General features: G+C 35.1%; 1 protein-coding gene across 6 annotated transcripts in view; it reads right to left on the reverse strand.

Moving 5' to 3' along the window:
- MAP4K3 (mitogen-activated protein kinase kinase kinase kinase 3) overlaps nucleotides 1-27,402 on the reverse strand; it is a 188,020-nt gene that overhangs the window by 28,702 nt on the left and 131,916 nt on the right. For 5 of the 6 annotated variants that reach the window (NM_001410753.1, XM_047446092.1, NM_001270425.2 and 2 more), the window contains 9 exons: nucleotides 21,776-21,834; nucleotides 15,263-15,301; nucleotides 14,806-14,859; nucleotides 12,325-12,367; nucleotides 10,154-10,313; nucleotides 8,885-8,997; nucleotides 4,546-4,587; nucleotides 2,305-2,389; nucleotides 440-519 (listed from right to left, as the gene is read on the reverse strand). In NM_001410753.1, coding sequence (NP_001397682.1) covers nucleotides 440-519; nucleotides 2,305-2,389; nucleotides 4,546-4,587; nucleotides 8,885-8,997; nucleotides 10,154-10,313; nucleotides 12,325-12,367; nucleotides 14,806-14,859; nucleotides 15,263-15,301; nucleotides 21,776-21,834 — 675 coding nt within the window. Of the gene's footprint in view, nucleotides 1-439; nucleotides 520-2,304; nucleotides 2,390-4,545; nucleotides 4,588-8,884; nucleotides 8,998-10,153; nucleotides 10,314-12,324; nucleotides 12,368-14,805; nucleotides 14,860-15,262; nucleotides 15,302-21,775; nucleotides 21,835-25,106; nucleotides 25,148-27,402 lie in introns of those variants that run through there. The other variant, XM_024453183.2, reaches the window with a different exon arrangement.

Raw genomic sequence — 27,402 nt, forward strand, 5'->3', positions numbered from 1 at the left:
GAAACCCTATCTCTACTAAAAACACAAAAATTAGCCAGGCATGGTGGCTCATGTCTATAATCCCAGCACACTGGGAGGCCGAGGCGGGCAGATCACCTGAGGTCAGGAGTTCAAGACCAGCCTGGCCAACATGGTGAAACCCTGTCTCTACTAAAAACACAAAAATTGGCTGGGCGTGGTGGTGCGTGCCTCTACTCCCAGCTACTTGGGAGGCTGAGGCATGAGAATTGCTTGAAACTGGTTGCAGTGAGCCGAGATCACACCACTGCACTGCAGCCTGGGCAACAAGAGTGAGACTTGGTCTCAAAAAACAAAACAAAACAAAACAAAAAAGAATAAAAGAGGCAGCAAGTCATGAAACTGAACCTTATTTCTGGTCTAATGTGTACTTATGGTAACTTAAAAATTAAAAAAAAAAAGAATATACAAAATAACATACCTGTTCCATTGATGTTTCATGAAGTTCATTAAGATTGAGGGTATAAATCCCTTCTTCGGCACCAAATATCAAGTACTGATCTGAAATAAAAGTAATTCACTGACTGATTTTGGTAAATAAAATATTTTTAAATAGGATTTCTATAATCTAAACTTCCGTAAATAAGTATTAACATATAAAACAAGAATTACTATGATTTATAAGCAGTGAATACAAAGAGGTTAGACACTTTAGACCCATAAACTGAATTATATGTAAACATTAGCCTCAAAGCAGTGAAGAGAATTTTTATGTAAGGGAGGTTCTGAAGAGTGGCATAGTAGATTCTTCACTCATCAGAGAATGCTAAGAACTGGCAAAGGATCTGCAGCTCCTTTTTCTAAAACCCCCTAAAGACAGGATCATGTGCAACTGACATACAGAATATAAAATCGAGAGTGGCTGATACAGATTCTAATTATTTCTACAGAATTTTTTTTCAGAGCTATACTATAAGTACTCTAATTTAAAAAACCCCAGAATCTGACCACAGTCTATTAAAAAGTTAACTAAAACTTGGATACCTGCTAGGGTACTCAGTATCTTCTAAAAGATATGAGAAGCATGGCCATCGTCCTTTCCATTTTTTTGTTTGTTTGTTTGTTTCCCAGAGCAGGAGCAGGAGTGGAAATTTATTAAAAAGACTTTAGAACAGGAAAGAAAGGAAAGAACACTTCCAAGAGATCCAAGCAGGCAACTTGAAGAAAAGTGCCCGATCTGTTTTTAAGATAATACAGGTCAAGAACTTTTCTAGACTAACTAGGCTAAACTGAAGTACGCTGAGAACAGTATAGAATGCTAAGAGCATTCCTAAAGTGCCCAGAATTTAAGATTAGTACTGGGAGATTAATGGCATAAGATTTGTGGTCAGACAGTATTGGATTTAAACTGACCCTTTCTAGCACCAATTGGCTATAAACAATGAACCTCTCTGAGTGCCAATTTCCTTGCCTATGACATAAAAGTACTCAGCATATTTAATGAGTGTATGTGTATGTATATAAAAATGTTCACGTATAAATGTTCTATGTGTATCTTACATAGACAGCTATTAAGAATCAGATATACAGTGAGAGGACACAGACAGTTCTTAGTGGTTGCCTAAGGACAACTGTTGTGATTATGGCCCCTTTTAAGGTCAGAGATCCTCTAAAGTGGTCACTAAACCCCGGATCCTTGGTAGCTAAATTCCTTCCATAATGGCTGTTTTGAAAAAAATGAAGCTACTGGCCAGTGGCTCCTGTCTGTAATCTCAGCACTTTGGGAGGCTGAGGCGACAACTGCTTGAGCCCAGGACTTCGAGACCAGCCTGGGGAACACAGACAGCTCCCATCTCTACAAAAAATTAAAAAACAAAAACAGCTAGGAATGGTGGCATGTGCCTCCAGTCCTAGCTACTCGGGTGGCTGAGGCAGGGGGATTGCATAAGGCCAGAAGTTTGAGGTTATAGTGAGCCATGATCATGCCACTGTACTCTAGCCTGGGTGGCAGAGCAAAACATTTTCCCTATAAATAAAAAATAAAAAAAGATACCAGACTACTGTGCAGCAGCAGCAGAAACATTTCTGGAGGAAACTAGGGTGGCTCAGAATACATGGCTTCACTATACTGATATGGTAACTATACAGTGAAATTTTAATGTTATGTGTCACCTCAAACACTGATAACAGCACAAAGAAACATATTTACCTTAAAATAAAAAAAAAATTATAACAAAACTTTTTTTCCCCAGAAAGATACTCAGAAAATAAACAAAATCACAAATGCTTTCATGGCCCCAGTTTTAAAAAATTAGGAAGATAACAGATAAAAACACACAATACTACCTCTTGTATCTGGGTTTATCCATGATGATGCACAGTGAATTTTCAAGGGACACCCATTAAAAACTTTTGAAAAACATGCACCCATCTAGGGAAACAAAGAATAACCAATATGAAACAGTGACAAGTAACAGTCTTTAATATATAAAATGTAACTATTATCTATTTTAATGTGAGAGTCTATAGATAGTATACTGAAATTATGATCATCTTCAAATTTACAGAAGTAAGTGTAAGAAATCATCATAGTCATTTGCCTAACAGTGGTACCACAAGTTTCCAGGTGCCACAATAATTTTACTTGGAAAAAAGAGAAAAAAAAAAGGTCTTATTTTTTCTATCTTTTCAACTAAACAAAGCAATAATAGGAACCAATTCTGCATAATAATGTATCTTACATGCTCCATGTCAAGAGCAATACAATAGTCTCTGGTAAAAAGGAAATCATAATCTCTACAAAGGAAGACATTTTTCTTGTTTGGTTTTATGAGCCTAAAAATGGTATTAAAAATTGAATTTCACATTACAAACTGAAACAGGTATGGCTGATTTGAAATTCATATATGTGCTTCAACCTCCAAACACAGACTTTTATTTTTATTTTTTTCAATTAAGCAATCTGATTATTTCCCTGGAAAGATTCATTAAAAAGCTTAACTCTTTGATGTTAATATTACTTATCAAGTCCATTTACAAACTTTTCAGATAATAAATATATCATAATGAAATATATCACCCATTTGAACTTTATATTATCAAAGAGCAAAATATTAACTCTGAAATTATCCTTCTGGTTAAATACTCAAGGTACAAGAATGTTGACTCAGGTAATCACTTTTACTACTGACAACTTGAGGGAAAAACAGTACAAAAATATTTTTGGTCAGAGAAAATTTCAGTATTTGCCATGTTGGCCTAAATTAAAAGAACAGCATTTGTGCATCATTTTATAGAAGGAATGTCTTCCTCACAAACACGGAGGTAACATACTGAACGAAAACATCACTAGTTGACAATAATGGATTAAAAATATTAACATAATTAAAACATGGACCTTAAAATTTCCCTTTTAATGACAGAAATCTACCAAACAATATATCTTTAAAGACTCTGGTACCAAAAAAGAACAATTTAGCTTGGCAATACCATCAAGTAGTAGCAGACCAATAGAAACATGTCTTTAGGATGTAGGGCAGAAACTATCATTTAACTAACCCTAATAACGACCTTTTAAGACAGCTACGGAAATTTCTGTGTTAGGGTACTGCTAACCCCTAGAAATTTAAATGACAAAACGAAGAACAAAACAATCAAGCCAGTTCCCAATCTTAAGCTAATTTGTATAGCTGGAGTCTACCTGGCATTCCACAGATAGCTTTTCCCTGTCAAACTGCAAGCCTGAGGTAAGTGTTTTATCTTACAGTCAAGTGGGAAAATCTGCCCTATTTTATGTATTTCTCTGCTGTAATATATATGCTATATAATATAAAGTATACTGTATAAATCAATATTAAAATTATTTTAAAATATTTATAATTTAAGTATTATATAAATTACAAATATAAAGTATATATATTTTGTAACATACAGTTTATAAAGTATACTCTGTGCTAATTAAAAAGTAGAATTTAAAGGTAAAAAACGGCAAGGCGTGGTGGCTCACACTTGTGATCCCAGCACTTTGGGAGGCCGAGGTGCACACATCACCTGAGGTCAGAAGTTCAAGACCAGCCTGGCCAATATGGTAAAACCCGTCTCTATAAAAACACACAAAAAATTAGCCAGGCATGGTGGCAGGCACCTATAGTCCCAGCTACTCGAGAGGCTGAGGCAGGAGAATGGCATGAACCTGGGAGGTGGAGCTTGCAATGAGCTGAGATTATGCCACTGCACTCTAGCCTGGGCAACAGAGTGAGACTCCGTCTCAAAAAAAAAAAAAAAGAAAAAGGGCAGGCATGGTAGTTTATGCCTATAATCACAGCACTTTGGGAAGCCAAGGTGGGCAGATCACTTGAGGCCAGGAATTCGAGACCAGCCTGGCCAACATGGTGAAACTCTGTCTCTATTAAAAATACAAAAATTAGCGGGGCATGGTGACACATGCCTGTAATTAAATTAGCAATCTTATAGATTTTTTTTCAATAATAATGAAAGTTCTTTCAAACAGACAAAAAAACCTAAGCAAAGATAACACACACAAGTGACTTAGCTTGAAACTTAGCCTACTCCATATTTAGTACTTACATGCACTTTAGGTGTTGGAGGAAGACCATTACTAATAGGCTTCTAGAAAAAGAACACATGTATGATTACACTTTTTTTGCTGCTGTTTGATATAATAATACTGTATTTCAAACACATTTATTCAAATAAAATACATGAATACATTCTTTGTAAAACAAAACATTACAGTTAAGGCTGAAGTTCCCCATAATTCTTTCACAATGCACTATTTCTAGTACTTGCCCCAGAAAAACTAGTTTGGTGTAAAACCTTCCAAATCTTTCTCTAGTGAATTAGATATACTTATGTAATCATATGGCTTTCCAGACATTTTTGGTATATATGTAAATACATGTTCCCATAGAAAATAGTGTTTGTGTGTGTGTTAGGAATTTAAAACACAAATAGTTATACACTATCTGCAGGATCTTTGCCTTAAAATTGGACAGTAATCCATATCGGTCATGTAGACTTAGTTCATTTGTTTTAACTGCAGCATGGCATAAATATACTTTATTTAGCTATCCTTAAACATTATTCGGTATTTAGATTATTGTCAATATTTTACTAGAACACAGATGCTGAAATAAACTTTCCTGTATATACCTACTTACACAGTGTATGAGTGGATGCCTTTATTGGTATACTGTGAGAAGTATACCGCAGTATGGGTATACTGAGAAACTACTGATACACAGGGTCTCTATCTTTTACATTTTAGTGCATATTGACTGTCAAACTGCTTTTCAGAGTGTACATATCACATCACACCCACCAGCAATGTATGAGAGCTCCTGGTTCTTTCTAGTCTCACAGCAATATCACCAAGCTGATTAGTAAAAAACCTTTTCTCCTGTGCTCCTCATTAATTTGCATGCCTCTGACTGCTAGGAAGATTAAGAATCTTTTTAACCCAGTGTTTATTTGCTATCTGTATTTCCTCTTTTGTGAATTCTTTTCCCATTTTTTTTAACTGAGTTATCTTTTTTCATATCTATTTGTTGGAGCTTTTAAAAATATATTCTAGGTTTGAGTATTTTATCTGTTATATATATACAACAAATAGTTTCTCCTTGTGTAGATAATCTTCACCATGTTTACAATGAGTTTTGCTAAGTGAAGTTCCAAATTTTGATGAATTCAAATATATTAATCATTGGTTAGAGTATACAGGCAATTATAAGGAGAAGAAATGTAACACATTTGCTCACCCACACTATGCTGAAGAATGCCAGATATTTCTCCAAGTGGCCACATTCTTGAGTATACGAACTGTCCCCTGAGAGGGAACCCCCTGGGTATACTTTAAACATGAACTTTGTGACAGTCTACATTTCTTTCAAGGTTAATCTCAGTAACATCATTTTAAGGAATGACATTCTAATTTTTCCCTAGAGCTGCCATACATCAGAATCACTTAAACAATGAGATGAAAACTAATAAAAAAGCTACTGTTAATTGATTTCATATATACAACATAAAAATATAACATTTCTGAAATTAAAATGACATACTTTGTAGATATATTTTTGAGGATGCGCACATCTTATTATTGCCAATAATTTCTGATACCTTTTTATTCCATTATGCAAATAATATATATTTTTTCTTATATTGATGTTATTAAATTATCTGATGTCATCTATTTTAGCAAAACATCTTTTTTTGTTGTTGTTTTTTTATTTTTTTTGAGACAGTCTTGCTCTGTTACCCAGGCTGGAGTGCAGGGGCACGATATCGGGTCACTGCAACCTCTGCCTCCCAGGTTCAAGTGATTCTCGTGCCTCAGCCTCCTGAGTAGCTGAGATTACAGGCGCCTGCCACCACACCCGGCTGTTTCTGTATTTGTAGTAGAGATGGGGTTTTACCATGTTGGCGAGGTTGGTTTTGAACTCCTGGCCTTAAATGATCCACCTGTCTTGGCCTCCCAAAGTGTACGGATTATAGGTGTGAGCCACTGTGCCCGGCCTAGCAAAACATCATTTTAAATTAGGGAGCTCTGAGTGTTATAACTCTCAGATTTAACCTAAGCACTAATAGAACTGGTTGTAAATATTATTTAAAATAAATAAGGCTGGGCGCAGTGGCTCACGCCTGTAATCCCAGCACTTTGGGAGGCTGAGGTAGGCAGATCATGAGGTCAAGGATTCGAGACCAGCCTGACCAACATGGTGAAACTCCGTCTGTACTAAAAATACAAAAAGTAGCCAGGCGTGGTGGCGTGCACCTGTAATCCCAGCTACTCAGGAGGCTGAGGCAGGAGAATCACTTGAACCCAGAAGGTGGAGGTTGCAGTGAGCCAAAATTGCGCCACTGCACTCTGGCCTGGGCGACAGAGCGAGACTCCATCTCAAAATGAATAAATAAATAAATAAAATAAAATAAATTTATTATTTATTATCATTTAATTTTTTTTAGAGATATGGTCTTGCTCTGTCACCCAGGCTGGAGTGCAGTGGCAGGCAAGCATAGCTCACTTTAACCTCAACCTCCTGGGCTCATGTGATTCTCCTGTCTCAGCCTCCTGAGCAGCTAGGATTATGGGTGCATGCCACCATGTCTGGCTAAATTTTTATTTTTTGTAGAGACAGGGTTTTGCTATGTTGCCCAGGCTGGTCTTGAACTTCTGCTCTCAAGTGATCCCCTTGCCTTTTCCACTGAAAGCACTGGGATTACAGATGTGACGGCTGTAAATAATTTCAAGAATTACAGCATAAACTGTAAGCATGCTTCAATATATCACTGATACTGTTTATCCTATGATAGAGCCATGGACATATTTATTTCAGAATTACTGAAACAGTTCCTTATCTTAATGAAGTAAGTTAACAGAAAAAGTGAACTAAAAATGCATACATAAAAAATGTTTACTTAGTACCATTGGAAAGGTTAAAAAAAAAGTTTACATCTCTCAAAGGCTATTTATTTTATACTGTGTTACAGTCACTCAGCTGCATTTTTGTACTATTATGTTAGCAGGTCTATTAAAATTTAAATTGTTGAAAGCAAAAAGGCACTGCTCAGTTGGACAGAACTTCATAAAACCCATTCCTAAATTTCAGAAATTACAATGAATAACACCAAATACTTTATGTGAATTTTAAGAATAATATGTCATATTGTATAGTGAAATATTTTTAAAAAGTTAAACAGATATAGCACAAAAGACTCTAGTGATGTGCTTACTGCAGAAACCATAGCATACTGAATGTACTAGACAAACATACCGAATATACTAGAAATTTCTATAAAAATAACAAATATTAGTATATACAAAAACTTCCAAAAAACCCTATTCATCTTGTTGACATCTGTTGAGATATTGGGGATTTTAAGGATTTTCTACTATTTTAAATTCTATGATGATAGTTGAATGTCTTCCAGTGATTGTAAGTCAATTCTTTACAAATGTTTAAAATGTTTCATCTCTTATGATCCCTGATGAATAACATTTATGTTTTAATAGTTCTGATGTTTTAGCTAACATTTGTGATAGGAGTAGCTGCTAAGACTAATTTCACCTTTCTTGAAGTGGTAAGTAAGAGCAGCAATGTCACTACTTATGTAATCTCTAACAGTGGTTCCCCAACCTTTTCGGCATCAGGGACTGGTTTCGTGGAAGACAATTTTTCCACAGATGGGGGTTGAAGGGGAGGGATGTTTTGGGGATGAAACTGTTCCACCTCAGATAATCAGGCATTAGTTACATTCGTGTAAGCAGCGTGCAACCTAGATCCCTTGCATGCACACTTCACAACAGGGTTTGCACTACGAGAATCTAATGCTGCAGCTGACCTGACAGAAGGTGGAGCTCAGGCGGTAATGCTCACTTGCCCACTGCTCACCTCCTGCTGTGTGGCCTGGTTCCTAACAGGCCACTGACCATTACTGGTCTGCGGCCCAGGGGTTAGGGACCCCTGATCTATAGTTAGAAATTTGTCCTGGGGTAGAAGCTACAGCTTTCTTTATCTATGTCCTTCTTTCCGTAACTTCATGAGACTGTAAGAGAAACTATCAAGAATCAATTATCCTCAATGAGAATAATAATAGTTATTTTGTGAATAATCACAAGAATACTAAGCATTTATCTGTATAAAGAAGATGTTTTATAACGTACTACATAACAAATTGGTCTAAATAATGTAAACGATAAAAAGCCATCATTCAAGTTTACCATAGCTAAGTTACTTTTTTCAAGATTTAAATAATCTATTCACCATTATAATTAATATACTAAAATATCAATATAGTAATTGTAAAATATACTAGTGCTATAGTGTCACTAATTGTAAGCATAAAACTAACTTAACAGTTAAAAAGGAAACAAATACAAGTAGAACTTATGACTATCAATACCTACTGGTACATCTTTCTTTTCTTTTCTTGAAAGGTTTGTGCCTCTATGTTCATTCTGTTGTTGACATAATGAGCCATCTCGTTCACCATTTAACTGGAAGGAGCTCATTCCATTTCCTTCAATAAGATATATTCATTGAAAATGATTAATCTTCATGAAAACTTTTATTCAGAAAGTTATCAAGTAGGAAAGAAAAAATATTAACTCTGACATAGTGTCATTATTCATTTGGGATCACCCAATCAGAATATTTACTATGAAAGTAAGACGTCATTTATATATATGTTCTTCTATTTATACCTCTATTTCTGGCATATTAGGCAAATTTAAATTCAGGTTGTGTATAAGTGCATGTATTTGTTAGCATTAAAAAACCAAATACTGAATTCATAACTACTTTTAGAAAAGGGGTGATTTATTATTATGTCATCCAAGAAACTTTAGTTGCTCTTTTTTTTTTTTGAGAAGGAGTTTTGCTCTTATCACCCAGGCTAGAGTGCAATGGCGTGATCTTGGCTCAGTGCAAACTCCGCCTCCCAGGTTCAAGCAAGCGATTCTCCTGCCTTAGTCTCCCAAGTAGCTGGGATTACAGGCATGCGCTACCACGCCCAGCTAATTTTGTATTTTTTTTTTTAGTAGAGATGGAGTTTCACCATGTTGGTCAGGCTGGTCTCAAACTCTTGACCTCAGGTGATCCACCTGCCTCGGCCTCCCAAAGTGCTGGGATTACAGGTGTGAGCCACCATGCCCAGCCTAGTTGCTCTTTTTTAAAATTGCTTCTTCTGGATAAACACAGAGGAGTCTTTACAGTGTTAAAATAGCACCTTCTAGTATTAATTTGGAGGCAAATACCTAGCAAATAATACCAATTATTTTTTTAGAAATGATTAAATGAAATAAGGAGTTAGGACAAGGTACTCTCTTCTAAAACAGAAGTAACCTAGACGCAAAACACATTTTCCATGTTTGTTCATAGTTTAATTTGCATTGTTTCCACACCGTAGCTAAATGAATGGGGAACCAGTCTCTAGAAGAGAGAAGGCTAAATATGAAATGAGAAATGAGGACAAAATATCTCAGACTGTGTCATAGGGAATCCTGTCATAAAAACACTTTAAGCTAGTAGGCAAAAAGCAGAAAACATCTCCATAGCCACTGCTTTCCTTCTGTCCTCCACCAAAAGAATTTCAAATAATCTCTTAAAAGAAAGTTTTTTTTCTCCCCATAGTATGAAAACCTGGTAACATATTTGCTGTCACCCTCCACCATTACCTAAGGCAACAGGTTTGTGTGGGGGTAATCTGGGAGGTGGTGGTCTAGGTGGAACTTGGGATGGCTTTGCTGGGCTCCCTGACATGGGACATCTCTTGATTGTTCCTTGATTTTCATCCTCAGTAGAATGCATTTCCTGTGGTATGAAGATAGACTTAGGCTGAAATAATATAGAAAAAGAGACCAACAATGAAACATCAAATTATTTTCCTGAAGTAAGTACTATTATACATTAAAAGCTTTCAAATTATTTCTACTATACATTAGAGGTTTACCAGATGAGTTTAAAGGTTACTCAACCATCCAATTCAGACTATCTTATTGTTTTAAATATATTCTAAAAATGTACACTAAAATGTGTACATCTCAGGTTTTGCTGCTGTGCAAATAAAAGGGCCTCTAAGTCGACTTTTTTATTAATTCCTCACAAGTCTCCCCACTTAGACTAGCCAAATAAAAATATTTTAGTCTTTCTTATCTCCTTCAATTTAAATCAATCTCTTTTTATTTCAAATATTCAGACTAGTCAAAGTTCAGCTCCGTATCAAGGCTAATCTAAGCTGTCTCTTAGATGACTCAATGTCTTTATGGTAATGCTTAATCTTTCAGACCAGGGGCATGAGAGGATACCAATTAAAATGTTATCATGTGGCCGGGTGCGGTGGCTCACGCCTCTAATCCCAGCACTTTGGGAGGCTGAGGCGAGCGGATCACGAGGTCAGGAGATCGAGATCATCCTGGCTATCATGGTGAAACCCCGTCTCTACTAAAAATACAAAAAATTAGCTGGGCGTGGTGGCGGGTGCCTGTAGTCCCAGCTACTCAGGAGGCTGAGGCAGGAGAATGGCATGAATCCGGGAGGCGTAGCTTGCAGTGAGCCAAGATAGCGCCACTGCAGTCCAGCCTGGGCGAAAGAGCGAGACTCCATCTCAAAACAAAACAAAACAAAAAAACAAAAAACGTTATCATGTTGGAGAATACAAACATAGCAATATGGGATGCCTGAGACACTTTCTGTACAAACAATGGAAAAATCTACAGTTGGCTGACGGTTTGTAGAATTTATAACGTGTCTCTTATTATTGCTCAGCACTTATTTCTTTGAAATTCAGATCTCTTTACTTCTGCTATGATAAAACTAAACAAGCAAGTACAGCATTATTTACTTGCATGAATCAGGATTTTCTCAATTGTATAAAATGAAAATAAATAAAAATAGTAATAAACCGAATGACAAGACTGATAAGACTCCAACTCTCATTTGTAACACTTTGATTTTAAACTTTAAAGCAACTCATATTATAATTAAAATTTGCTATGCATATGAACTTATAAAGTATATATTAGCTCATTTTACCTTTAAAAAAAACAACCCATCAGTTGAAATTACTATTTTAGAATGATTTTGTTTGGAAAAATAATTTTGTTGTTAAAAAGCATTTAAAAATTGTACTATTTTGTATTTTTAATTAAAATTATCTTTTGAAAATTAAATATCTATGATGATAAATTACTATCCTTTATTCATTCTTAGAAGTCAGGAATAGGTTGCAGATTTTGAGAAAAACAATCTTGTAAGAAATGTGAGTTTTCTAACCCAAGTCAAATAACACTAATCCATTAATACAATCATTTTCAGTGTAAATTCCTAGGACTTGTTACTTAGAATGAACATTAAATAAGGCCAGGCACAGTGACTCATGCCTGTAATCCCACAACTTTGGGAGGCCAAGGCAGGCAGATCACCTGAGGTCAGGAGTTTGAGCCAAGCCTGGCCAACATGGCAAAACCCAGTCTCTACTAAAAAATACAAAACTTTAGCTGGACCTGGTGGTGGGTGCCTGTAATCCCAGCTACTGGGGAGGCTGAGGCAGGAGAATTGCTTGAACCCGAGAGGAGGAGGCTGCAGTGAACCGAGATCATGCCACTGTACTCCAGCCTGGGTGACAGAGTGAGACTGTCTCAAAAAAAAAAAAAAAAAAAAAAAGAACACTAAATATAAGTTGGGCATTATAAAATGAGACAAACATAATAAAAAATCATTTACTTATATCAACTTCATGATTTTTCTTTGTGGATCACAAATGAAAAGCTAGAAAAACTCTCAACAAAGTATTAAATTGGCAGAACAATAACACACATATATCAAATTGAAAAATAAATCTGTCTACCTTTGGTGGCAAAGGAGGTGGAATTTTTGCTTTCAGAGTTGAGCTAAAAACAGAAAAGTTTAGAATCAGAACTATTCATTTTACAAATGAATCAATCCTAAAATATAATAATTTTTTCAAAGACACATAAAAAAGCTGCAAAGACAAATATCATTTTCTAAGATTGTAAGTTTTTTCTAAAGTATTTTGTGAAATGTTGCTAGAGGTATTATTCAGAAGTAACTGGGAACTGGAGGACATTATGTTAAGTGAAATAAGCCAAAACAGAAAGTTAAACACCGCATGATCTTACTCATGTGGAAGCTAAAAAAAAAAGTTGATCTCATAGAAGTAAAAAGCAGAACATAGGATACTAGGAACTGGGAAGGGCAGGGAAAAGGGGACGAAAGGGAGAGATTTGTTAAAGAATACAAAATTACAGTTATGTAAATACTTACAGTATGTAAGTATTACTACTCTCTTATACCACTGTAGGATGACTATAGTTAACAATAACGGGCCGGGCGTGGTGGCTCACGCCTGTAATTCCAGCACTTTGGGAGGCCGAGGTGGGCAGATCACGAGGTCAGGAAATCAAGACCATCCTACCATCGTGGTTAACATGGTGAAACACCATCTCTACTAAAAATACAAAAAAATTAGCCAGGTGTGGTGGCGGGTGCCTGTAGTCCCAGCAGGAGAATGGCATGAACCTGGGAGGTAGAGCCTGCATGCAGAGAGCTGAGATCACACCACTGCACTCCAGCCTGGGTGACAGGGCAAGACTCTGTCTCAAAAAACAAAACAAAACAAAAAACCAATAATGTGTTATTTAGTTGCAAATAGTTAGAAGGAGGATATTGAATGTTCCAACACAAAGAAATGATAAATGTTTGAGATGATGGATATGCTAATTACCCTGATCAGATCACTACATTATATGTATCAAAACGTTACTATGTACCACAGAAATTTGTATTATAATTATTTCAGTTAAAAGAATTAAATTCAATTTAAAAAGAAGTAATTGGGTAATACACTTTCTTGGTTCCAAGTACTATATTGTAATTAAAACTGGGAAAGATAATTATAATTCCAGTTTATATCAACTGAAAGGTAAATAATTAAGAACATAAGCCACATCTGGCTTATGAAATAAATGATACAGTATAAAATATATCACATTGTAAACTTCATTTTTGCTACTGTTAGATATGAAACATCTTTGATGAAGCTCATCAAAAACTATATATATGCTTTATGAAATTATATGCAGAATGTGACTGAAGTTAGGATTCATTATAACTCAGGATCAGTTTTAGAAACAGAAAGAGGCTGGTCACAGTGGCTCATGCCTGTAATCCCAGCACTCTAGGAGGCTGAGGTGAGCAGATTGCTTGAGCTCAGGAGTTCGAGCCCAGCCTGGACAACATGGTGGAAACCCATCTCTACCAAAAAATAGAAAATTAGGAAGTGTGGAGGTGCAGTCCCAGCTACTCAGGAGGCTGAGGTGGGAGGACTGCTTGAGCCAGGAGGTCGAGGCTGCAGTGAGCCAAGATCACACCACTGCACTTCAGGTGGGCCACAGAGCAAGCAAGACCCTTTCTCAAAAGAAAGAAAGAAAAAATTGTAATATGATGAAGCACAAATGTCTCAGATGAGGATTTCAAGGCCTAGAAAGTTTATGTAACTTTACCCAAGATCAACCTATGCCCTCAACTGCTACTCAAGTGCTCTTATCATTTTACCATGAAACTGCATCTTTATTAAAAAAAAAAAAGTAAACATCAATGCATACATAATAGTAAAAATATTCCTCCTTTAAAACTATATATTTACATCCAAAGTATTTGTTCACTTGAAATATAACAGATTAAAATTTAATCAAATTTATAATAAGCTTCTTTGTAGTTGTAGTAAAATTACAGCAGCTATCAATCACTGATAAATCTACAATAAAAAATTATTGTCCTTTGGAAAAAATGGACTGAAATGTGTCACTATAAAATTCACATGTTGAAGTATTAACCCACAATGTGATTATATTTAGAGATGGGTTTTTAGGAAGTAATTAAGCTTAAATGAGGTTGTAACAGTGGGATCCTAATCCTATGGATTGGTGATCTTACGAGAGAGAGAGATCACTCTTACCCCTGATCCCACCATGTGCATACACTGAGGAAAGGCCACGTGAAGACATGGCCAGAAGACGGCTGTCTGCAAGCCAAGAAGGCAGCCCTCACCAAGTTGGTTGGTACCTTGATCTTGAACTTCCCACCTCCAGAACTGTGAGAAATAAATTTCTGTTGTCTAAGTCTATGGTATTTTGTTATGTCAGCCCAAGTTAATGTAACTAGAATAGAAAAAAGGAAGGAAACTGAGATACAACCCATGATATTGTGTTACTGATATTGAAATTTCCATCAATATTAAGCTGCCAGATTGATGAAATCAGGTCAAATGACACCTTTTCTTTTTACCAAAAACAGAGACAGAACTTACTGTTTAGATTCATCATCATCTCCTTCATCATCTTCTAAATGTGCGACGTGTCCTCTAAATAAAAAGGATAATGTCATTGTTATTAAATGGATTTTACCAAAACAGTAAGAAGAAATTTTAGAAAATGCAGGAAAAGCTACTGTAAGATAAAATTTTATTTCTGCATCTTTATAGGATAGGATAGATTCAGAATTAAAACAAGGAACTGGGAGCGGTGGATCGTGATGTCCGTTACTAGGGAGGATGAGGTGGAAAGATCGCTTGAGCCCAGGAGTTCAAGGCTGCAGTGAGCTATGATCATACCACTGCAATCCAGCCTGGGCAACAGAGCGAGACCCTATCTCTATTAAAGAAAAAAAAGACAACGCAAACAAATAGGCTACATAACAGAGAAGAAGGCAAACTGACTTTACTTGTCTGTGACATAAAGTACTTTAAGATTAAAAATTAAAATTACCGCTGATGCAATTCTTCTTCAACAGACTTGAGAAGACTCCTTAAAAGAAAAAACAAAAACAAAAAATAATGTGAATAAATTATCAAAGGAATATCGAATGTGTTTTTATCATTTTAACCTTAACCATACATTTTTTGAATGATTACTTTTTTACCATTTACTGAAAATTTGCTAGTGATCACCTCTGCAACCATAAAACATCAAGTTATATTTAATAAAATACCTCTATTTTCCTGTTGCCAATGTCTTTATATATGTATTTTAAATGAACAAAATAAATCCTAATATTTATTGAAAAATACCAATTCAAACAGAAGACAACTCACCATGGAATGTCACAACAGTACTGACAAAACAATAATTGCAGGGTCATAGCCAGGAGTCTCCAGGATTCAAATTTTACCTGGAATTTTATACCTGACACCTGAAATTATATATACTTTCTTTTTCTTAAAATAAGGAAGGTGACACACTTCAAAATAACATCATGCTCTCAGGCAATCCTACAAAATGAAACTCACCATGTTGGATCTCTCTGCAGAAGCATGCATGCATGTGATGTGAATACATGAATGTAGTAGCACTTTGCTTTCACGGAAGACACTCACTTACCTGAAGGATTTGTTCTCCAGTGGTGCACGGGCAAACACATTTACACTTTTGGGAGACTAAGCCTGTATCAGACCAGGTCGAGGATTTTACCATTAGGAGCAGTATACAAAACTTTAATTTTCAGGAATGTAAGAGAGAACTATGGCATTCCTGAAGTTCCCTTACTTCTTTTTACCGCAAGTTCATGCAGCATACCTCCTAAATTACACTCTTCGAGCATAAAGACTCGATAGACTTCTCAAAGCTAATAGGGGAGATAAATATAGTTACTAATATACTACTGGGATAAAAGAGAGTCAGCAAAAGTTTTACTCTCCCTAAAAGTTATCAGGTAGCACCTTTTAATTATTTTCCCTCCTAATACATATCAGGAAAAACTGCCCTTAAAATTACAAAACATAAAACTAGAGAAACTGAAAGGTATGGTTATCTACTGTAAGCAATTAACAGAATAGGTTTTAGGCATCAATATTTTAATTAGCCTAGATTAACAACAATTTAAATTTTAAAAAATGAAAAACTTATGACTCCAGAGTGGTAAATTCTATAGGAAAACCACAAACTAATTGCAAGTCCTATTTTGGAGATACAAAAAGTGAGGTACCACAGTCAAATATTATCTTATTCACAAAGCTCTCCAAGGGCCAACTCTAAGAAAGCAGGAGCTTCTGTCTAGAGGCACTAGAGCAAAATGCAGACAGGCTTTAAAGCCAAGACGGCCTGAATCTGAATCCTGCCTTCACCATCACAGGATATGGCACTGGATAAGTTACTCTGATTTCTCTATGCTTTGATTTCCAGCTATGTAAAGTAGAAATTACCTCAGTACTTATTTCAAAGTGGCTGTCAGAAGGTCTACTGAATTAATGTAGGTAAAGTGCCCAGAAGGGTAATTTAGGACAGAGTTGGGACTTGATTAGTATTTTCTTTATTACTATTGGCTAAATAACATTTCCTTAAACTAGCAGTTCTCAAATTGTGGTATAAAAATCCTGGGGTCTCTTAGTCTCCTGTAGGGGTCTGCAAGGTCCAAACTATTTTCACAATATGTAATACCTTTGTTGCTCTTATTTTCTCATGAGTATACACTGGAGTTTTCCAGAGACTACAAGATGTGTGATACCACAACAGATTGAATGCAGTAGCAGACATGAGAATTTAGCTGTCTTCTATTAAGGCAATGTTAACAAGACTTGAAAAAAAAAAAAGTAAAACAATGCTACTTTTTTTTACTAATATTATTTTGTCTCATAAAAAATAGCTATTTTTTTCATAAAAAAATGTTATTAGTGGACCTCAACAAAAAGTGTTCTGCAGTGCACTGACATATATAATAAAACCTTTTATGGCAATTATTCACTGCCTCTGAGTCTCAGGAGAGAAATCAGAGGTGTTTTAAGAAACCACTGTGAAGAGCTGGCATTTGAGTTGGTCCTTAAGAATGGAGATTTTTTTTTAAACACACACACAAAAGTATGTTATTTATAACAAATAATATTATTTTAAAAATATATTAACATTTTGAAAAGTTCTAAAGTTTAATTTTGAATACTATAAATATTGATAGTTATAACCCCCATAAACAAAAGCTCTTTGGAATCCTCAATAATTTTAAACACTGTAAAAAAATCATGAGACCAAATATTTGAGAAGTGCTGCTTTAAACTATTTTACCAAATTAAACATAATGTATCTGAACTGTACAGTTGGCTTTTATGTAATTTTAGATGTGAAAAAATACTTTTTTGTTAAGCACATGACAATCTTTTTTGAGATATTTCTTTTTACAATAGAAAATATTAGGATTTGAATACAGGAAGATAATTTAAAATGTACCATATTTAATTGGATTTATATTGCATTCGCATTCCATGTTTTTTTTTTTTTTTTTTTTGAGATGGAGTCTTGCTTTTTTGGTCCAGTCTGGAGTGCAGTGGCGTGATCTTGGCTCACTGCAACCTCCACTTCCCAGGTTCAAGCAATTCTCGTGCCTCAGCCTCCCGAGTAGCTAGGATTACAGGCGTGCACCACCATGCCCGGCTAATTTTTGTATTTTCAGTAAAGACTGAGTCTCACTATATTGCCCAGGCTGGTCTTGAACTCCCGGCCTCAAGTGATCCACCCGCCTTGGCTTCCCAGTGTTGGGATTACAGGTATAAGCCGTGAGCCATCACACCCAGCCAGCATTCCACTTTTTTAAAAAGAATCTTTCTGGGAGTTCTCTAACAATAAGAGAATGGTTGAATAAGTGAATATGAAAAAGCAGATAGCCCATGGCTCAGGGATTCATATGTATATTTTAATTCATTTACCTATAAATCCCCATTGTGTGTTAACATATTTTATTAATGAAATTACAGAATTAATACGGTCTTAATGAAAAGTAGGATGCATGATTTACTTTTTAGGCTTTATAAAAGAGAAAATGAAATATGGCTAAATTTGCTAAAAAGTCTGTTTACAGTAAATATTGCATCTTGAGAGCACTGGAGAAAATGTGATACTGATTTATTCACCAAGATTGAATGTTACACAATAAACAATGTCACTATTCACTAGTCCACTTGAATTCTTCTCTTATGGAAGTTTTATAAAGTAAATAACAAAACAAAACAAAAACAATGCTTTCAGATGCTGAATTCTAAGACAATCTAAAATGAGTAAGAAATGTTGACGAAAAGGTTAAAAATGAAACAATGTACAAACAGATATGGCAGAGGTCTAAAATGACCACCAAAATACTCAGCATATTTGCATTAGCTAAAGAATCAGTGCTGCGGTTATTAACATCTTTAAAAATTGTCTAACTGCCCCCAATCTGTAAGTACTGCTCTGATTACATTTCAAACCAACAAGCAAACAAACAAAAACCCTATTTCTCTAAAATTAAACAGCAGTTTTATTCACTCACATTACTACTTGTTCATACAATCAACAATTATTTACTGAATAACTACCATAAATAAAGGCAACTAATAAGTATTTACTAAGTCCTAAATGTGCTAAATGCTTTATAGCAATTATTCCATTTCATCCTTAGCACCCTATGAGGCAGGTACTATTATATTATCCATTTTACTAGCAATAATAGAGGTAAATTTCTCAAAGTCATGTAGCTTATAGGAAAAGCCATCTGGCATTTACTACTACTATACTCAACTGTGCCAGGAATTGTGTAATTCAATGTACTCTTTTAACTATTACTTATTAGAAGAGAATTTACCTTCAACATTTTTGCCCTAAATTAAAACAAAACATAAATAATTTAATGTTTTCTTTTCTTTTTTTTTTTTGAGACAGAGTTTCACTCTTGTCGCCCAGGCTGGAGTGCAATGGCACGATCTCGGCTCACTGCAACCACCGCCTCCTGGGTTCAAGCGATTCCCCTGCCTCAGCCTCCCGAGTAGCTGGGACCTCAGGCGTGTGCCACCATGTCCAGCTAATTTTTGTATTTTTAATAGAGACGGGGTTTCACCATGTTGGCCAGGCTGGTCTCGATCTCCTGACCTCAGGTGATCTACTCGCCTCGGCCTCCAAAAGTGCTGGGATTACAGGCGTGAGTCACCATGCCCGGCCTAGTGTTTTCTTTTAAAAATAGTATTTTGTTGGTTTTAAATAAATTATCAGAAAAGCTGACCTTAGTGAGATTAGAATTCCAAAGAAAAGGAGACAAGCAAGTATAAGTCAAAGTACATATGCTTCCTGTTAGAAAAAGAAAAGACCTATGTTAACAATTATAATTAGATAGTTCCTGCACGGTCTGGAATAGGTAGAAACCCGTCAATGGAAATCTGTCTGCCTGATCACCTATGGAGAAAGCAGGAAATCCCGTTTTTAAAACACTGCCTAATCACAAGAATAAAGCAGACATATCAATACAGCAAGAGAAGTGCTACATCCATGCTCATGTCACATGTATGTCTATACCTACACACGAAACACAGCCAAAGAGCAAACTTTTGGCCAACCTACCTTGCCAAGGGTTCGTTACATAGAATACAGTTCCTTAAGCAGGGATCCAATTCATCAAAAAATGAAGGTTGGGCAAATTATTAACATTTTACCTAGCCAAAATAACTATACACTACGAAAATGTCTAACAATCAGAAATCAGACAATGGAAACTAAGGAATCTGGAAAAGCATTTAGTGAGGGGCTACATTTTTTTTTTGTACTTTGCATGTACAGATTTTTAAAATGTATTTTAAATGAATCAAAAAAGGTAAAAAATATTTTCCCAAAAATTTCAGTCTCTTAAAATACACTAAAATTTACTAACAAGGACCTTAAAATTAGGGACTTCATATTTAGAGAAAATAACATAAAAACACTTCAAAAATTTTTTTTATTTGCGAATCCACTATGAGACAAACTTTCCTTTGTTTTTCACCAACAAACTAAGACAATTTATAAATCACAAATAGTCAACTATTTAGGTAAAATTTCATTTTCTCTGCCAAGAAAATTTTACACTTATTTTCCATTTTAAAAAACATAAATGCTAATAATAATAATGACTTAATAATAGTATCAAAGCTAATAATATTTTTAAAACTCTGATAGTATTTAACTGAAGTTCAGCTTAAATAAAAACTAATATATTTCTCCAGATTGTTATTAAAGCCTTTTCTCTCTGTTAGGAAAGGATAGCATATTTAACTAAAAAAATTAAACATTTGGTATTTAGTTTATTAAAAAAAGAGAGAAACATGATTTTGCATTATTACCCTTAAAACTAAGCTATTTGTCTTTAGTTACTATTTCTCAACTGCTTAACTTAAAATATGGGAATATATATGTCTCAACTCTCTAATGCAACTGAAATAATATTTTGAAATTTTGCGAGGCACGGTGGCTCACACCTGTAATCTTAGCACCTTCTGGGAGGCTGAGGCAGGTGGATCACTTGAGGCCAGGAGTTCGAGACCAGCCTGATCAACATGGTGAAACCCAGTCTCTACAAAAATACAAAAAATTAGCTTGGCATGGTGGCAGGCCCTTGTAGTCCCAGCTACTGGGAGGCTGGGGCATGAGAATCACTTGAACCCGGGAGGCGGAGGTTGAAGTGGGCCAAGTTCACGCCACTGCACTGCAGCCTGGGCAACAGAGTGACACTCTGCCTCAAAAAAAAAAAAAAAAAAGGAATTTTAACTTGTTCTGACTATTAAAATAATATATGCACTGCTGGAAGATTTTGGTAATTTAAATTATATTCCCTTATAAATTAGTTTTTATCATAATTTATCCACAAACTTAGAAAATGAGACTCTAAGGGGAATAGCAAAATTCTGTCTCCCATCATACCTGGCAAATGAACAATTTAAATTGTTAATGTTTGTAAGCTGCCTTTTAAACCTCTGTGCCTCTATCAATTAGACAGTGCCTGGTGTAGAAGAGGCATTAAATAACTGTTGAATTTATTTACTGCATAGATTGGTAACTTTTAAGAATTCAGACACACATTTTAACTGCTATCTTACTTTAAAAAAACCTTATAGCTAAAAAGTTAAGATTTCTAAGTTGTATGAATAATTCCAGCTGTTTTTAGTGACCAACCCATCTTAGAGATGTACCAAAGCAAGTTTTATAAGAAATAAACAGATCAGTTTTAGAAATAAAGTGCTAAAACATGTATCTGCCTTCAGTGGCAATACATGTGGTTTTCTCTAACATACAAGATCAGCAATGTAGCTTGATATAAAAAAATTATGTTGATGCTTCCCATTAGGACAACTATTAACTAAATAATGAGCAAGGAAGCAATGGAAAAAGGTGAAATGCATATTGTAAAATATATCTACCAGCCTAATACAATTTTCTACCTTAAATATTAAAATATAATATTAAAGGCAACTTAATAATTCTTGAATTTAAATTAAGTTTTAAAAGAACTTTACTTACTTGTTTGCACCTAAAAAGTAACCACCTTGGTGTCCTTGTCCATATTCCAGTTGCAGATCCTAATAGTACAAAATAAAATATTTAGCACAATAGTAGTATATGACACACCATGATACATTAATATATATAATACATATTATTTTTAAAAGATAAGTCCCAGACCCCCAAATAAATCTGTATTGCTATACATTCTTAAAAAGAAGGATTTCACGAGTTCATAGTCCTGATTTAAGTATTTTATTATTTGAGTGTTTTTCTTGGAATTTTTCTGAATAATATATGCAAAGTTTCATTTTTGGTTACTGTTACTTTAATTAACTTTTGTAAAAATCAGTTTTTAGAAAGAAAAAAGCTCAAATAAGGTGTTTATTCTCCAGTTATAATGAAGCAAAAACGTTCAGAGAAGTGAATATGTGACAAAAATCTTGGTTTACTTTGTATATAGTATCTAAAATAATTACGTATATAAACACTTTCACATATTTCTACTGCTGTTTCACGCAGGTAACAATTTTTTAAAGATATGAAATTGGGTGCTATTTTAAAAGTAAATTACGTATATGAACTTGTACAATATTATAAATTGTACTGAAGGACTTTTAATAATTTTTTAAGCAAAACTTCAAATGAGTATTAAGGCAGTTCCTCAACTGTTTAAACACCTTCCGACTTAATGCTGTGGGTTATAGAGTGTTAAGAATTAACATTTAAAAGGATGAACAGTACACATGCTCAACTCAAATGCCTTCTTGAGAAAAAGAAATGTGCTTTCCAACAACCATGAAAAGAATGAAGTAAAGCTGCCTTTTGTCCTCTTCTTAAAGAGCCACTGTAATCTAGGCACTGTTTTAACCATTAAGGGGGAATATTTGACATTTAAAAAATGAATCTTATTTACATTAGAATATAGCATATTTAAAGTGCTTTTTATTTTTACAAGATATTCTCAGATTCATGATCAGGGCTTAACACAAAAGCCACCTTGGAGCAGCCGCCTTCCAAGATTGCCAGGGAAAATTATCTGCAGCTTTCTCTAAGTTTCCATAGCATTTAACACACAGAGCTGCTCTAGCACTTACACTGCATTTTAATCTATTTACATGTTTGTAAAAGCGAGCTCCTTAAACAATGGGAAATAATCAAATCTATCTTCTTTCCTTACAGCCTACGGTCTAGCATTGTTCCTGGCACAAACTGACTGCACCATAAATAAATGCTTGTTCAAATGCCAACTGTTTATTTTCCCATAAATAAAACTTCAGCCTCGTTAAGATACACAAAGCTAATTCTAAATGACACTAAAAACTAAGCCTCAAAATATAAGGATTTTAAGCAATACATTACATTTAAGAGAGAAGCACTTTAAAATTTAAATATTCCAAGACCTGTCAAAAAAATCTGATGAAAATTAAAATCAAAATCCTGGTTTAGACAAGACTCAAATTTTGTCTTCTTCAATATTTGTGTTATTCCATGCATAATAAAGTGTTCTTATCAGTGTGAGAAAAGATAACACATCATAAAAAAGACTAGTTGACTGTCACACTGGTATCACACAAAATTCCAATGAAAAAGGACATCTGTACTCTTTAATTTGTAATGATATATCTTAATAAGATAAAATCATTGTTATTACAAAACTGCACAGTTTAAGTGGTCATGACTTTACCACTGAATCCTTAAACTGTAGTATTCAGTAAAGAGAAGTACTAAATTAAATAAACACAAAATTTGTTTTCTTCAGCTATAGATAACTGGGCCCTCTATCAGACCAGCTATATCTTTAGCCAATACAATCTCTTAAGCCTTTAATCAAATGACAGCTTCCAAAAGCACACATTCGTGTGGAATGGCCATGGCTCTTCTGTTATACAAACACAGATGTGTCATAAAAATACTCAGCTCATCTGATATAAGACAAGTAAAAGGCTGGTAATAATGATTAAAAATAAAGGATATAGGCCGGGCGCGGTAATAATGATTAAAAATAAAGGAAATAGGCCGGGCGCAGTGGCTCACACCTGTAATCCCAGCACTTCGGGAGGGCCGAGGCGGGCGGATCATGAGGTCAGGAGGTCGAGATCATCCTGGCCAACATGATGAAACCCTGTCTCTACTAAAAATACAAAAGATTAGCTGGGCGTGGTGGCTCGCGCCTGTAGTCCCAGCTACTCGGGAGGCTGAGGCAGGAGAATCGCTTGAACCCGGGAGGCGGAGGTTGCAGTGAGCCAACATTGCGCCACTACACTCCAGCTTGGCGACAGAGAGAGACTCTGTCTCAAAAAATAATAATAAAAAAAATTAAAAAAAAATAAAGAAAATAAACTGAGTTCAGCAGTATATTTAGAAAGGTAAGAAAAGTATCTAAAATAACTAAAGTAATATATTAATAGAAAATTGAGCATAGGCTCATATAGAGAATAACATTCAGGCCAGGAAAGAAGTTGTAGATACATCCAAGTCCGACGATTAAATGGGTCATGTCCCAAGTCTTACCAGGAAAGGTGAAATTCAAAGGGGCTCATTCTTTAACAATTTCTTCTCCTTAAATTATGTTATAGCAACCATGGAACAAAACAATGTGCTAGGAATACCATAAGTAAAATATTACTTTAAATCCTTCTAAAAAGTTTCTAATCTCATTTAATACAACCATTGTTTACCAAGCACCTATTATCTGACAGGAATTCATACAGAAAATCGGATAGGGAAAATGACAAGAAATAAAAAGGAAAGGAACAAAAGTGAAACCAGGGCAAAGTTAGTAGTTCATTATATGTCGTTGGGGCAGTCTAAGAAAGACTGATATAAAATGCTTTTCAAAAAGGATTTGGAAGTTATTCCATATCAGAAAAATGCTACCAAAATAATGCTTGGAAAGGCGCTCAAACTATCCCAAGATGATGGTATCTTATGGCCATTCTTTACAAGCTAAACAAGAAACACTTGAGTATGCCAGCATAAAAAAAGTTAGTAGCACTAATCAGGCATCAACTTGTTAATGAATGACAGTGTTTACACAGTAGAGTCAAATAAGTAACAGGAGCTGAAAACATGCAATAACCTAGTATAGATTAAAAGTTCAAGATCGTTATCCTAGCCCAATTAAAATATCTTTTTGGGTTGCAAAGTCCTAATTTCAGCAGTTCATTTTAGCGAATGGGAGACTATTTCTAAATTTCAGATGGAATTTCTAAGAACACAAAGTGTGAGAAAGAACTGAAAATGAACAAAGGATGTAACATGGAGCACCGGAAAAGGAAAAGCATATGACCAAAAACATCTTATTGTAGTTTTAAAAAAAATCCCCTTGGGAGATTTAAGTCTATACCTGATGAGAAAGCAGCAGGAAGTCAATAGAATTGATACAGTTCACTACAAAAACACAAAAGAAAAAAATACTTGAGCAATATATCTTGACCAAGAAAGAGAACAGGAGAAATATTTTCCCATCAAAAATGAGAAAATTATGGCACAAATAAGGTTGTTAGTGAGACACTTTTTAACGCAGTAGATGATTTATAGAAATAGAGAGGTGTTGAATCCAGGATAATTCAAATATTTTTTATTTCTTAAAAAGTCAGAAAAGCAAGTAGAGTCAGAATATTAACTGATCAAGTTAGGTTTCTGACTAATAAAAGCAGATTAAGGAGCCTGAAAATGGAATAATATGACTTTTGTACTGCAGGCTCGGAAATGAATATTGGCAGGTGAGGCATACTATATACTTCTTCAGAGCAATGATTATGTTACTATTTATTTATGCCCCTACATAGTCATTAACATAGTGTTTTTTGGGTTTTTGTTTGTTTTTGAGATGCAGTCTTGATCTGTCACCCAAGCTGGAGTGCAGTGGCACGATCTCGGCTCCCTGCAACCTCTGCCTTCTGGGTTCAAGAGATTCTCCTGCCTCAGCCTTCCAAGTAGCTGGGATTAAAGACGTGCACCACCATGCCCAGCTAATTTCTGTATTTTCAATAGAGATGCGGTTGCCACATTGGCCAGGCTGGTCTCGAACTCCTGACCTCAAGTGATCCACCCGCCTTGGCCTCCGAAAGTGCTGGGATTATAGGCGTGAGCTACCACGCCGGGTCAACATAGTCTTTTATACAGAATTAACTTTCAATTTTTTGTTTTTAATTGGTACATGGGCTTAAATAGCCAGTAAAACTATGCAAATTAGAAAAAAATAGCATCAGTTAAGACGGATGTGTAATATAATCTTTTAATCTGCAGATAGCATTTTGCAGATCAGACAAACTGATTTTTATGGTTATGGGCAAAACTCTTTTAATTAACTTACAGTGAGTTTTTGTTTTAAACTCAGGCATCTTTCAAAAATTCTCATACTGTCAATTCTAAAAAATCAAGCCCTATTCTTCTGGCTTCATATATTAATTATCTGATTTTTTTTTTTTTTTTGAGAGAGCACTTTTGGATAGCACAAAAGTTTAAATACAACATTCTAAATTCACTTACAAAATCACAAAATAAAAACAGTTGGCATTTAAAACAACCAGAAATCACAGGTAATATGGAATGTTTATGTAGCAAGGTCTTTAAAGGGGTAAATGTTTCTTCTGGTCCCAAAGGGATTTAGGGTTTTTACCTTGGTGCCAACTGCCAGCTAAGATGAGGGCCAGACATTCTGGATTCCTCAGGCTTTTAGTGGCCAGCCACAAGCATTTGTAAGAGATGAAATCTTGTTCACAGTGCCAAGATTTTAGAATTGATAAAATTAGAACACAGAAATAACTATGGCTACTTTATACCCATTAGGATAGCTATTATCGAAAGTCAAAAACAAAACAAAACAGAGGATAATAACAAATGCTGATGAGGATGTGGAGAAAGTAGAAGTCATGTGCATCGCTGGTGGGAATGTAAAATGTTGCAGCTGCTGTGGAAAATAGTATGGCAGTTTCTCAAAAAATTAAAGATAGAACTACAAGTCCATTTCTAGTTACATATCAAAAGAATCGAAAGCAGGGACTCAAACAGATATTTGTATATCCATGTTTATAGCAGCATTATTCACAATAGCCAAAAGGTAGAAGCAACTCACTGTCCATCAATGGATGAATGTATAAACAAAATGTGGTATTTACATGCAATGGAGTATTATTCAGCCTTAAAAAGGAAATTCTGACACACGCTGCAACACGGAGGAACCCTGAAGGTATTACGAAATTATGCTAAGTAGTGAGCCAGCCACAAAAGAACAAATATGCTATGATTCCATTTATACAAGATAACTAGAGAAGTCAAATTCATAGTCAGAAAACAGAGTGTTCGCTGCCAGGGGCTGGAGGGAAAAAGGAATGGGGAGTTATTGTTTAATGAGTATAGAGTTTTAGTTTGGGAAGATGAAATCATTCTGAAGATGGAGAGTGGTGGCAGCTGCGTAACAATGTGAATGTACATAATGCCACTGGACTGTAGACATAAACATTAAAACAGTAAATTTCGTAATGTATATTTTACCACAGTAAAAAAAACAAAAACAAAACATAACCATGGGACATATATATTTACTTTAAAAAGGTGGGGGGCCCAGTATTACTTTAAAAATATATACTGATGATGTTGGGTAGAGGCAACACAGTACAGTGGTTTAGTTTTGAATT

Source organism: Homo sapiens, chromosome 2, assembly GCF_000001405.40.
Source record: "Homo sapiens chromosome 2, GRCh38.p14 Primary Assembly".
In the NCBI taxonomy this organism is placed as follows: Eukaryota; Metazoa; Chordata; class Mammalia; order Primates; family Hominidae; genus Homo; species Homo sapiens.